This window comes from Homo sapiens, chromosome 1 (genome assembly GCF_000001405.40).
Source record: "Homo sapiens chromosome 1, GRCh38.p14 Primary Assembly".
Classification (NCBI taxonomy): Eukaryota; Metazoa; Chordata; class Mammalia; order Primates; family Hominidae; genus Homo; species Homo sapiens.
The window spans coordinates 207,759,819-207,773,065 of NC_000001.11; the positions used below are offsets into that span (position 1 = coordinate 207,759,819).

Below are 13,247 nucleotides of genomic sequence, written 5' to 3' on the forward strand. Positions count from 1 at the left end.
CAAAGAGGTTTCTTTTATGTGGGTTATATCTATTGGTATTTATCATATTGGAATTCAAACGGAGAGGTTTTTAAATAATTATTGATTCTTTTTGGTTTTGTTTGTTTTTCCTAAGACACGGTCTCAGGCTATTTCCCAGGCTGGGGTGCAGTGGCACAATCTCAGCTCATTGCAGCCTCAGCCTCTCCAGTAGCTGGGGCTTCAGGCATGTGCCACTATGCCTGGCTTTTTGTAATTTTTGAAGAGACGGGGTTTTGCCATGATGCCCAGGCTGGTCTTGAAATCCCATGCTCAAGCAGTCTGCCCCCGTGGGCCTCCCAAAGTGCTGGGATTACAAATGTGAGCCACCCCACCTGGCCTGATTAATTTGTAAGAATAAATGCAATACAAATTAACATATGTAACATAATTTTTATGAAAAATAATAATTTTCCAAATCAAAATAAAATTAGTGAGAATAGTGGCATTGTTCACATTTTTTGCATATCTCTTCAACATCTGGCTTAAAGCAAGATTGTATTTGGCCTGTTGTGTTATCACACAATATGTAGCCTTTGGAAAAATATCACTATATTCTTATTAGGATCAGAGTGAAAAAAGACAATAATATTTTGGTGGTATTGTGAATCACCAATTTAGAAAATGGATATATTTATAAATTGCAAAGGATTTCTTAACTAGCACCGAGTTAAGCATATTTTCTCATTAATTGTCAGCATTTCTTGTGATGACTAGAACAGAACTTAGCATGGCCTTCCAAATAAATACAGGCGTATTAGGCCGTTTTCGTATTGCTCTAAAGAAATACCTGAGACTGGGTAATTTATAAAGAAAAGAAGTTTAATTGGCTCATGTTTCTACAAGCTGTACAGGAAGCATGGTGCTGGCATCTGCTGGGGGTTTGGGTAGGCCTCGGGAAACTTAACAACCATTGGGAAAGACAGAAGGAGAGCAAGGTGTCTCACATGGCAGGAGCAGGAGGAGCAAGGTGGGGAGGACGGGAGGTGTTGCGCACTTTTAAATAACCAGATCTCCCAAGCACTCAGTATCACGAGAACAGCACCAAGGGGACGGTGCTAAACCATTCATGAGAAATCCACCCCCATGATTCAGACCCCTCCCACCAGGCCCCACCTCCAACATTGTGGACTACAATTTGACATGCGATTTGGTGGGGACACAGATCCAAACCATATCAATAGGTATTTACACTTTAAGAAAATGAGATTTGTTCTGAAAGTTAGTTACTACATTAATGGTTTGAATTTGGGATGATATATTTGCTCATAGAAACCTTCTTTTAAATCCATATTGAATTCACAAACAGCTTGTAGAAACCCTATATTGACAAATTTATTGAAGACACAGAAATTTTACTAATGCTGTCTTAATCTTTTACATTTCCTTTCCTCTTTTTCTTCATTTTTAAGAGGTTTTGTGTACACCACCTCCAAAAATAAAAAATGGAAAACACACCTTTAGTGAAGTAGAAGTATTTGAGTATCTTGATGCAGTAACTTATAGTTGTGATCCTGCACCTGGACCAGATCCATTTTCACTTATTGGAGAGAGCACGATTTATTGTGGTGACAATTCAGTGTGGAGTCGTGCTGCTCCAGAGTGTAAAGGTAGTGTTTCAATTTATTTCCTTCTTCATTTGTAAATACTATGGAAACATTTTGTAAATAGTTTCATCTACAGATAAACAAAGCAGGTGTATGTGCTTCCTCCTCCTGTATAATTGGTTTCTAATTTATTTTAATTCAGGTCAATTCAAGTCAAAAAATAGTTCTAGCTAGAGTTCCCTATTTCTCACCCCTACATGTTCTTGGCATTTCATTTTATACAGTGTGAACTACTGTGTACCTGCATGAGTTAGAAGTTTTTGTTTGAAAGAACCAAAAAAAAAAAATACACACTGGCTTAAAGAAAGTTTCATCTTGTATTACAAGAAATCTAAGAGTTCTGGCTATGGTAGTGGTAAACTGTGACAGACTAATCGTCTCACAAATAAAAATGATAAACTCTGGATAAAAAAAATTTTTTTTTTAAAGACCAAATGTTTAAGGCACTCTGGAGTGACCAAAAGTATGAAGACCATGTAGGGGACTTGCCCATTTAAAGAAAGAAATCACTGAATAACAGTGATTTAAAAGTATATACTCCCCAAGTACACATGAAACATTCTCCAAAGTAGACCATATTCTAGACAATAAGACAACTTTTAACAAACTTCAGAAAATTGAAATCATTCAACATGCATTATCACAATAGAATGAAAGCAGAAATCAATAACAAAGCCAATCCCCAAAGAATTGGAAAGTGTACAGGACACTTCTAAATAACCCATGCATAAAAGAAGTAGTCAGCAGGGAGATTAGAAAGTGTTTTGAATTGAATAAAAACACAACATCTCAAAATATCCAAATATGTAGGATGCAGCTAAAGCATTGCTTACAGGGGAATGTATAGCATAATATACTTGTGTTAGAAAAAAAGAAAAGTCTCAAATCAATGATCTAATTTTCCACCTTAAGAAACTAAAAAAGAGCAAGTTAAATCCCAAACTAGCAGATGTAAGGAAATGATAAAAATAGAGCCAAAATCAATGAAATTGAGAAAAGAAAAAAAAATAGAGGAAATCAGTGAAACCAACAGTTGCTACTTGGAGATCAATAAAGTGTGTAAACCTGTAGCCAGACTGACAAAAAAAGACGCAAATTAACCAATACTGAGAATGAAAGAAGTGGTGGCCAGGCGCGGCACCCCAGCCAGCTTGAAGACCCTGCCCTCCTGCAGCCGGCAGGGGCAGTCACTCCCGGACTTGTCCTTTTAGAAGTTCCAGCTTTACCACTTGCTGGTGGAGCCCAACCACTGCCGCAGGGTCCTCATCGCCAACACGCCTGGCAGATCCAAGAGGAGATGGCCCAGGATGAGACGTGGCACACACAGGCACCCGAGAGTGTGGGGTTGGCGTTGTTCCACTGCCTGGTTTCTGCAGAGATCCTGTGCCTGTGGCCTGTGCCCGCCATGTGGAAGCCAGAGGGGGTGTGCCATGCCCCCCGCTTTGGACACTGCTGCGTGAAGGGGCCAGTTTTCAGACCTTTGCTCTGTCACCTCAGCACTGGCGCCAGGAGCCCTGAAGAGCAGCATCTGGGAGACGGACAGCCCTGGGGAAAATAGAGGAGGCGTTCAGAAGTAGCTAGATGAGATATTTGAAATACTGAAGACCAAAAACCCCAGTTTGCATGGAAGAACTGGCCTCAGATGTGGTCAGTTCCTATGATGACCTGGACACACGGTGCTGACCCACACGATGGGAGGTGGCCCTGCAAAGCATTCAGAGGCTTGGGCCTGCTGCCGTCCGGCCTCCCACCTCCAGCTGCAATTGCATTCTGACCTGGGCAAGTAGGAACACGTAGTGGAGATCCTGATGGAGACCTGAGCCAGGCGTCCCGGAGTGCTGGCCAGGCGTGGAGTACGGGATCCAGCTAAGGGAGACTGGCCAGCCTATAGCCCCCCAGCCTTGCTGGCTCCTCTGCTAATTCCAGCAGGGTCTGCAGCCCCAGACCCATCCCCTTCCTTCCCGTCTGCAGAGGGCAGGCCAGAGGCTGGTCTCAGTGGGAGCTAGGGCTCTCCTCAAGGGCTTTTTGACCTTGGGCCAGTCTTGACATCCCCACAGCCCTGCGCCCCTCATCACTTTTCGTGTCTCTCGGAGACGGCGAGCTGCAACTGCAGCAATCTTGTTTAAATTTAGGTAGGTGAATTTCTTAGAATTAAGTTTCATATGTTTTGAGCAATAAGTTTTCTTAAGATATATATATTTTAATCTTTTTAGTTTTATCTCTGAATATTTTTTATTTTTTTTCAATGTATTTTTTTTCTGGAAACATTCTGTGCTGCTACATTAGAGCCTACACAGTTTAGTTGGTACATTTCATTCTTTTAAGGTTCAAATAAGGGATTTTATTTTCCAGTGAGTTTCCTTGCATTGTTAACAAGTCAACAGCGTTAACGTATGATTTTTTGGTTTTTTTTTTTTGTATACTTTAAATTTGTGTGCAACCCTTCTCATTTATGCCCTGTGTTACAGTGAGAGCTTGGTCAAAGTGGGGAAAACACACACAGCTGCTACACTTTTTTTTTTTTTTTTTGTCATTGGAACATTTGTGCCATGTCTTCCTAGACTTAAGTGTAAATTATGGAGGGTTTTATTTGACAATTTATATGTAAATGTCATTGAAGGCTAAGGTTAAATCTTTGGAAATCACAGGCACCAGTTGATCTTTAGAGACCTCAGATCCCCTCAGGTGGCGCCTTGTGATAGGCGGTGTTCTGGGAGGCTTCCTGTCAGGTTCCACAGCACAGGCACCTGCTCTGGGCACGGACTGAGCTCCTGGGGTGTGCACGGAGCTGCGGTGCGCCAGTCACATGCGCTTGGAAACAGCGTGTGCTGCTGGATTGGAAATGCCTACGTTGCTCTGTTAAATTGGTGCTGGAGCCAAAACCTAAGGTTAAATTTAAGTCTAGAATGAAAGAAATCTGAATCCATGTAATTAATGGCCGCTCGATCTTGAGAGTCCTTGACGGCCCTGCCTCAGGAAGTGAGGTGGGGGTGCCTACACCTTTCACTTTCCTTCCTCACGTCCACCCCGTATGTGTTTCTCATCCTTTTTCTGACTTCCCCCCATCCCTTAGCCAAAAAGCTTTATATTCTTTTGTGCATATGGTCATTCTTTAATATCAGTGATGTAAACTTTACTTGATTACTTTACAAAATTATTCAACAGACAAACAAAAGAATGAAAAAGAGAATATCACTAAATATCCTACAGACATTTAAAGGATGACAAGGGAATATTATAAACAACTTTATGCCTACAAATTTGACAACTGAAATGGACAGATTCCTTGAAAGATACAAAATGTCAAAACTCACTTGAAGATATGGATAACCTGAATACTCCTATATCTACCAAAGAAATAAAATTTGTAGTTAATAACCTACTGAAGGTCCAGATGGCTTCACTGGGGAGTTCTACCAACCATCTAAGGAATAAATCACAGCAATTCTACACAAGCGTTTCAAGAAAGTGCAAGAGGAGGGAACACTTCTCATCCCATTTTATGATGATAGCATTGTCCTTATACGAAAACCAGAAAACAAAAACATTATAAGAAAATTACAAATAATATCCTTGATGAACACAGGACCAAAAATCTTCAACAAAATATTAGCAAACCAAATCCTGTGATACATAAAAAGAAAAGTAAATCATGACCAAGTAGGATTTACCCTATGAATGCAAGATTAGTTCAAATGCAAAAATTAATCAGTGTAATTTGCCACATCAGTAGACTATTAAGGAGAAAAAAAATCATGTGGTTATCTTATTAGATGCAAAAAACAAAGAAAATGTTTGACAGAATTCATCATCTTATTTTTTCATGATAAAACTTCTCAGCAAACTAGGAACAGAAGGGTACTATCTATCTTACCCTGATAACAGACATCTACAAAAATCTCACAGCTAACATTACACTTCATGGTTCAAAAAAATTATACTTAGTGGTAAAAAGTAACATTGTACTTAGTGGTTAAAAAAACCTTACTTACATTTCTGTCTAATTAATAAAGACCTAATTCTGGAAGGAAAACAGTGAGGATGTCCACTCTTACCACTCCATTCAGCATTATATTGGAGATCCCACCCAGTACAGTAAGGCAAGAGAAAGCTATTAGGCACACATGTTGGAAAAGAAGAAATAAAAACTGTCTCTACTCACAATGAGATGCCACTAAATACCTATTGGAAAGGCCGAAATGTAAACACACACACCCCAAACTGACAATACCAGGTATTGACAAGGATATGGAGCAGATGAAACTCTCATATACTGATGGTGAGAATCAAAGTGCAATGACCACTTTGGGACATTTTTGGCATTTCTTATAAAGTTAAACATACTCTTATCATACAACTCGGCAACCCAAATAAACTGAAAACATTTTCACACAGAAACTTATATGAGGATGTTCACAGCAGCCTTATTCATAATCACCCCAAACTGCAAATCGCCACATGTTCTTGAGTTGGTGAATGAATGAACCACCTGTGCTACCTCTAAAAGATGGACTCGTACTCAGCAATAAAAAGGAATGAACTGATTCATGCAGCAACACAAATGAATTTTGAAAGCATCATGCTTAGTGAAATAAGCCATACTAAGAAGACTGTAATTTCATTTATGTGACATTCTGAAAAAGTCCCACTATAGGGATAAAAGCAGATCAATGGTTAGCTGGTTGTGGAAGTGGGGATGAGGGGGAAGAGGGGTAACTCACAAAAGAGCATGAGGAAATTCTGGAGAGTAATGGAACTTTTCTGTATCTTTACTATGGTGGTAGTTACATGATTATTTGCATTTGTCAAAACTGATACAGCTGTACACTTGAAATGGTGAATTTTACTGTATGTAAATTATATCCAATAAACCAACCTTTACAAATAACATTAGGTACAATTAGACACAACAAAAGGTCAGTGAACCTGAAGACAGGTGAATAGAAATTGAACCTTATTTAAGAAGAAATGTTGACTAAAGAAAGAGAGAGGCTTACAGACCTGTGGGAGAGTATCAAGCAGTGAAACATACATGTAATTGGAGTTTCAGAAAGACAGGAGAGAGAATGGTGTAAAATATTATTTGAAAAAATATTGGCCAAAAATTATCCAAATTAGATCCAAAACAACCTCAGATCCAGGAGATTCAGTGAACCTTCAGCAGGATGAATAAATTATTAAAATTTACCACCACCACCACCCCCCTGCAGTAGTTTGGTAAAAACTACCAAACAAAATTTTAAAAAGCAGCCAGTGAGTGGGGAAAACAACAAAAACCCGTATTACATTTAGGAGGGCAGGGACAAGTAAGAATGACAGCCAGCCAAGTTTTCTTAAGAAAATGTGGTTACAATATGGTTATCTCTGTTAGTGCTGAAAGAAAAATAAAACACCCTAGAATTCTGTATGAAGGAGAATATATTAGTTAACATTTAAAGTCTTTTAAAAAATGTTTTTAACATCTTGCATTCCATTCCTTGTCTCTGTTCACACTGGAAATTACTACTTTGTACTACTTTTTCTGCTAAAGCAGATATCCATTAATTCTGAGGTTTCTCTAATTTTCCAGTGGTCAAATGTCGATTTCCAGTAGTCGAAAATGGAAAACAGATATCAGGATTTGGAAAAAAATTTTACTACAAAGCAACAGTTATGTTTGAATGCGATAAGGGTTTTTACCTCGATGGCAGCGACACAATTGTCTGTGACAGTAACAGTACTTGGGATCCCCCAGTTCCAAAGTGTCTTAAAGGTACAAAGGTTATCTTTTTTCTGTCTTGGTTTGTTATTGTTGTTGCTGTTCATTTTAGACTTTATTTCTTTGATATTAACTATCAGTCATACAAAATAACTGAAAAGAAACAATTTTAGTATTTAACTCTGTCTTGTATTCATTTCTATGCCAGATGAATGACACGAAATTCACATAAAATTCTGCTGTTGTGATTTTTTGTGCTTTTCCAGGGTTCTTAGCACGTTATGTACATTGCATGGGTATATGCTTTTAATATTTTTATGTATAAAAAGTGAATTACAACAACTTTTTGGAATTGAAACATGGGCATTTTTATCTAAGTAAGTCAACAATGGCATAATTCATATAAATGAAATGAGAGCAATAACTCCCAAGTGGTTGATCTTCTAACATTATTTTGTTTCCTAGTGCTGCCTCCATCTAGTACAAAACCTCCAGCTTTGAGTCATTCAGGTTTAGTAGCTTCTTCCTTATATGTCTTCTTCCTTATATGTTACAAGATATAAGGAATTCCTGGAGAAATTGCCAGCAATAACTCCCAAGTGTTTGGTCCAATCTACATTATTATTTTGTTTTCCAGTGTCGACTTCTTCCACTACAAAATCTCCAGCGTCCAGTGCCTCAGGTTTAGTAATTTCCTGCTTATAGTTTTTCAAAAATCCTTTAAATTCCTGGTGATTTTTTATAAAATCCTTCAAATTTCTGGTGATGTTCACTTATTTTTAGTAATGAAAGGAGGGAGGACATTTGTATAGCCATTTTAGTTGTTATACATAGTGATTCTAAAATTATTTGCCATAATCTGATATAAACAGGAATATGACCTTGGGAAAGTTGTATAAATTTTGAATGTGTTTATATATATATGTTTACATTATATATAGAGAAATTGATTTAGTACCTTCCTTATTGGGTATTAGTAAGGTATAAGTGGGATGCATTTAAAGCACTTAGCACAGTGCCTGGTGTAGAGAAAGCTCTTAGAGCTAGCCAATATGACTTATCCTACACTTAAATTAATGTTAGGGAAGGGGAAGGTTCATGTATGTTTGTTAGTATGTGTGTGTGTTAATATGTTAATATGTTTGTTTGTTAATATGTATGTTTTGTGTCATCAACTTTGCTATTTTATTCTTTTCAGAAGTGATCTGTTGACACCTTTACTGAGTTTGTTCCTATTGCAGGACTCTTTCATTTCCTGGAATGCAACTAGTTTGAGTCTTCTGATGTAAAACATTTAAACAGGGAAATTTCTGCTGTCCTCAGAACAAGATCTGTATTTCTGCCTCTTCCCTACCCACCCCTCTTCCACACCTCATAATGTTATTTATTTTTTTTCTCTTTAGTGGGCAGTTTTATCTGGCAATAGCAACTCAATTTTATAGCAACTGAAAGGCAGGAAAAGTCCTTATTTACTGAAATAAAATAGAAGACTTTTGCAGGGACTCCTGGTCAACCACTGTGCTTATGACTGGAGAGATTATTTTGATATGATGGAAGGAATTATCCTGATTTCAGCACTACCATCTCTGGTTTCACTTTGCTTCCAGCAGAAGCAAGAGACAATAGTAATTGTGGGTAGCACTTCAGTCTGGGCAGACTGTGCTTAGTTAACATCATTTCTGTGGTCTTCAGTTTCCCTTTAGTATAATGTGAGTGTTGAACTGAAATCTCAATCACTGGCTTCTAATTTGGTTATATATTTCCTATCTCCCTAATATTTTAAAGGATCGAAGAGAATTATGCATGTTAACATAGTAATTAAGATACCTTCTTATAGGCTGGGTGGGGTAGCTCACACCTGTAATACCAGAACTTTGGGAGGCCGAGGTGGGTGGATCACGAGGTCAGAAGTTCAAGACCAGCCTGGCTAAGTTGGTGAAACCCCATCTCTACTAAAAATACAAAAATTAGCGGGGTGCGGTGGCAGGCACTTGTAATCCCAGCTGCTCGGGAGGCCGAGGCAGGAGAATCGCTTGAACCCAGTGGGCAGAGGTTGCAGTGAGCCAAGATCATGCCACTGCACTCCAGCCTGGGTGACAGAGTGAGACTCTGTCTCAAAACAAAAACCTTCTTATAATTCCTGTAAGAGCTTGGTAACTGGTAGCCTCCTGAGTTGAGTGCTGTAGGGTTTGAGGGGCAGGAAGAGATGAGTTTTTTAGTGGACTGATACATGAGCAAAACAAGATTGCATGTGAAATTTATACTCAGTGAGGCATCCGGGCTTAACTCACATGCTCCTAGTGGGTATATGCACTAATACTACGTTTGTTGATACAGTCTTTTGAAAGAGTTGATGATAAGCATTTCATAAAGTATTTATAAAACACTGGTATAGCTTAGTGTTGGAGAGCAGAAGAGAGAATTGCTTGGGATTGTCAATGATTTCTTATCATCTGCTAGAGGAAGACTAAATAACAACATCATGATGTTAAGGTAGATCTAAATGTGTTAACAAGAAGAAAAGTTGAGGAAGTCCTAAGTGGAAAAGAGAAAGATGTAAATTATGTAGTATCATACTACTTACAGTTTTTAAAAAGATACATATGTTTACCCCAAGCACATTCCCTTTTTTTTTTTTTGAGACAGAGTCTTGCTCTGTCACCCAGGATGGCGTGCAGTGGCGCGGTCTTGGCTCACTGCAACCTCCGCCTCCCGGGTTCAAGCGGTTCTCCTGCCACCTCAGACTCCCAAGTAGCTGGTATTACAGGCACCCACCACTATGCCGGCTAATTTTTTGTATTTTTAGTAGAGACGGGGTTTCTCCATGATGGCCTGGCTAGTCTCGAACTCCTGACCTCAAGTGATTCACCTGCCTCGGCCTCCCACAGTGCTGGGATTACAGGCGTGAGCCACCACACCCATCCTCACATTACTTTCATGATGGTTATCTTCTAAGATTTCCATTATAAAATACAGAGTGTGGTGAGCATTCTTGTACATACATCTTACATACTTGTGCAAATATATATGTAGGTTAAATTCTAAGATGTGGAATTGCAAAGTTTGTAAAGTGTGTAGTTTTCATTTGATAAACTTAAAAAATCAATATCAAAATTAAAGTCATAATTTTATATTGATAAGGCCCTGGTGAATTTATAAAATCAAACTTATTTTTCTAGGTCCTAGGCCTACTTACAAGCCTCCAGTCTCAAATTATCCAGGTTGGTTAACTCTTTATCCTACTGATATTGTTAAGAATTTATTTATTTATTTTTATTATACTTTAAGCTCTAGGGTATGTGTGCACAGCGTGCAGGTTTGTTACATAGGTATACGTGTGCCATGTTGGTTTGCTGCACCCATCAACTCATCATTTATATTAGGTATTTCTCCTAATGCTATCCCTCCCCCAGCCCCTAACCCCTGACAGGCCCCAGTGTGTGATGTTCCCCACCCTGTGTCCATGTGTTCTCGTTGTTCAACTCCTACCTATGAGTGAGAACATGCGGTGTTTGGTTTTCTGTCCTTGTGATAGTTTGATTAGAATGATGGTTTCCAGCTTCATCCATGTCCCTGCAAAGGACATGAACTCATCCTTTTTTATGGCTGCATAGTATTCCATGGTGTATATGTGCCACATTTTCTTAATCCAGTCTATCATTGATGGACATTCGGGTTGGTTCCAAGTCTTTGCTATTGTGAATAGTGCCACAATAAACATACGTGTGCATGTGTCTTTATAGTAGCATGATTTATAATCCTTTGGGTATATACCCAGTAAGGGATTACTGGGTCAAATGGTATTTCTAGTTGTAGATCCTTCAGGAATCACCACACTGTCTTCCACAATGGTTGAACTAATTTACAGTCCCACCAACAGTGTAAAAGTGTTCCTGTTTCTCCACATCCTCTCCAGCATCTGTTGTTCCTGACTTTTTAATAATCGCCAATCTAACTGGCGTGAGTGGTATCTCATTGTGGTTTTGATTTGCATTTCTCTGATGACCAGTGATGATGAGCATTTTTTCATATGTCTGTTGGCTGTATAAATGTCTTCTTTTGAGAAGTGTCTGTTCATATCCTTTGCCCACTTTTTGATGGTGGTGTTTTTTTCTTGTAAATTTATTTAAGTTCTTTGTAGATTCTGGATATTAGCCCTTTGTCAGATGGGCAGATTGCAAAGATTTTCTCCCATTCTGTACGTTGCCTGTTCACTCTGATGATAGTTTCTTTTGCTGTGCAGAAGCTCTTTAGTTTCATTAGATCCCATTTGTCTATTTTGGCTTTTGTTGCCATTGCTTTTGGTGTTTTAGTTATGAAGTATTTGCCCGTGCCTATGTCCTGAATGGTATTGCCTAGGTTTTCTTGTTGGGTTTTTATGGTGTTAGGTCTTACATTTAAGTCTTCAATCCATCTTGAGTTAATTTTTGTATAAGGTGTGAGGAAGGGATCCAGTTTCAGCTTTCTACATACGGCTAGTCAGTTTTCCCAGCACCGTTTATTAAATAGGGAATCCCTTCCCCATTTCTTGTTTTTGTCAGGTTTGTCAAAGATCAGATGGTTGTAGATGTGAGTTGTTATTTCTAAGGCCTCTATTCTGTTCCATTGATCTATATATCTGTTTTGGTACCAGTACCATGCTGTTTTGGTCACTGTAGCCTTGTAGTATAGTTTGAAGTCAGGTAGCTTGATGTCTCCAGCTTTGTTCTTTTTGCTTAGGGTTGTCTTGGCTATATGGACTCTTTTTTGGTTCCATATGAACTTTAAAGTAGTTTTTTCCAATTCTGTGAAGAAATTCAGTGGTAGCTTGATGTGGATAGCATTGAATCTATAAATTACCTTGGGTAGTATGGCCATTTTCCCAATATTGATTCTTCCTATCCATGAGCATGGAATGTTCTTCCATTTGTTTGTGTACTCTTTTATTTCGTTGAGCAGTGGTTTGTAGTTGTCTTTGAAGATGTCCTTCACATCCATCCCTTGTAAGTTGGATTCCTAGGTATTTTATTCTCTTTGTAGCAATTGTGAATGGGAATTCACTCATTATTTGGCTCTCTGTTTGTCTATTATTGGTGTATAGGAATGCTTGTGATTTTTGCACATTGATTTTGTATCCTGAGACTTCGCTGAAGTTGTTTATCAGCTTGTGGAGATTTTGGGCTGAGACGATGGGGTTTTCTAAATATGCAATCATGTCATCTGCAAACAGAGACAATTTGACTTCCTCTTTTCCTAATTGAATACCCTTTATTTCTTTTTCTTGCCTGATCACCCTGGCCAGAACTTCCAACACTACGTTGAATAGGAGTGGTGAGAGAGGGCATCCTTGTCTTGTGCCGGTTTCCAAAGGGAATGTCCAGTTTTTGCCCATTCGGTATGATATTGGCTGTGGGTTTGTCTTAAATAGCTCTTATTATTTTGAGATATATTCCATCAATACCTAGTTTATTGAGAGTTTTTAGCATGAAGGGCTGTTGAATTTTGTCAAAGGCCTTTTCTGCATCTATTGAAATAGTCATGTGGTTTTTGTTGTTAGTTCTGTTTTTGTGATGGATTATGTTTATTGATTTGTTAATGTTGAACCAGCCTTGTATCCCAGGGATGAAGCCAACTTGATTGTGGTGGATAAGCTTTTTGATGTGCTGCTGGATTCAGTTTGCCAGTATTTTGTTGAGGATTTTTGCATCGATGTTCATCAGGGATATTGGCCTAAAATTATCTCTTTTTGTTGCACCTCTACCAGGCTTTGGTATCAGGATGATGCTAGCTTCCTAAAATGAATTAGGGAGGATTCCCTCTTTTTCTGTTGATTGAAATAGTTTCAAAGGAATGGTACCAGCTCCTCTTTGTAGATCTGGTTGAATTCGGCTGTGAATCCATCTGGTCCTGGACTTTTTTTGGTTGGTAGGCTATTAATTATTGCC

General features: G+C 38.7%; 1 protein-coding gene and 1 pseudogene across 17 annotated transcripts in view, besides 2 other annotated features; both read left to right on the forward strand.

Annotated features, from left to right (window-relative positions):
* The window catches only part of CD46 (CD46 molecule), a 43,479-nt gene that overhangs the window by 7,781 nt on the left and 22,451 nt on the right, over positions 1-13,247 (forward strand). For 4 of the 17 annotated variants that reach the window (XM_047420894.1, NM_172351.3, NM_153826.4 and 1 more), the window contains exons 5-8: positions 1,431-1,628; positions 7,195-7,377; positions 7,961-8,005; positions 10,503-10,544. In XM_047420894.1, the coding sequence (XP_047276850.1) occupies positions 1,431-1,628; positions 7,195-7,377; positions 7,961-8,005; positions 10,503-10,544 (468 nt within the window). Of the gene's footprint in view, positions 1-1,430; positions 1,629-7,194; positions 7,378-7,788; positions 7,834-7,960; positions 8,006-10,502; positions 10,545-13,247 lie in introns of all 17 variants that reach the window. The other 13 variants (XM_047420909.1, NM_172352.3, NM_172353.3 and 10 more) reach the window with 5 other exon arrangements.
* Positions 2,391-3,191: an enhancer, noted in NCBI's record as "H3K27ac-H3K4me1 hESC enhancer chr1:207935554-207936354 (GRCh37/hg19 assembly coordinates)". NCBI's record gives its function as "activates a minimal SCP1, AML or CMV promoter by ChIP-STARR-seq in naive H9 embryonic stem cells {active_cell/tissue: H9 hESC(naive)}" and the evidence as "EXISTENCE:reporter gene assay evidence [ECO:0000049][PMID:30033119]".
* CDCA4P4 (cell division cycle associated 4 pseudogene 4) lies at positions 2,771-4,769 on the forward strand (annotated as a pseudogene).
* Positions 3,192-3,990: an enhancer, noted in NCBI's record as "H3K27ac-H3K4me1 hESC enhancer chr1:207936355-207937153 (GRCh37/hg19 assembly coordinates)". NCBI's record gives its function as "activates a minimal SCP1, AML or CMV promoter by ChIP-STARR-seq in primed H9 embryonic stem cells {active_cell/tissue: H9 hESC(primed)}" and the evidence as "EXISTENCE:reporter gene assay evidence [ECO:0000049][PMID:30033119]".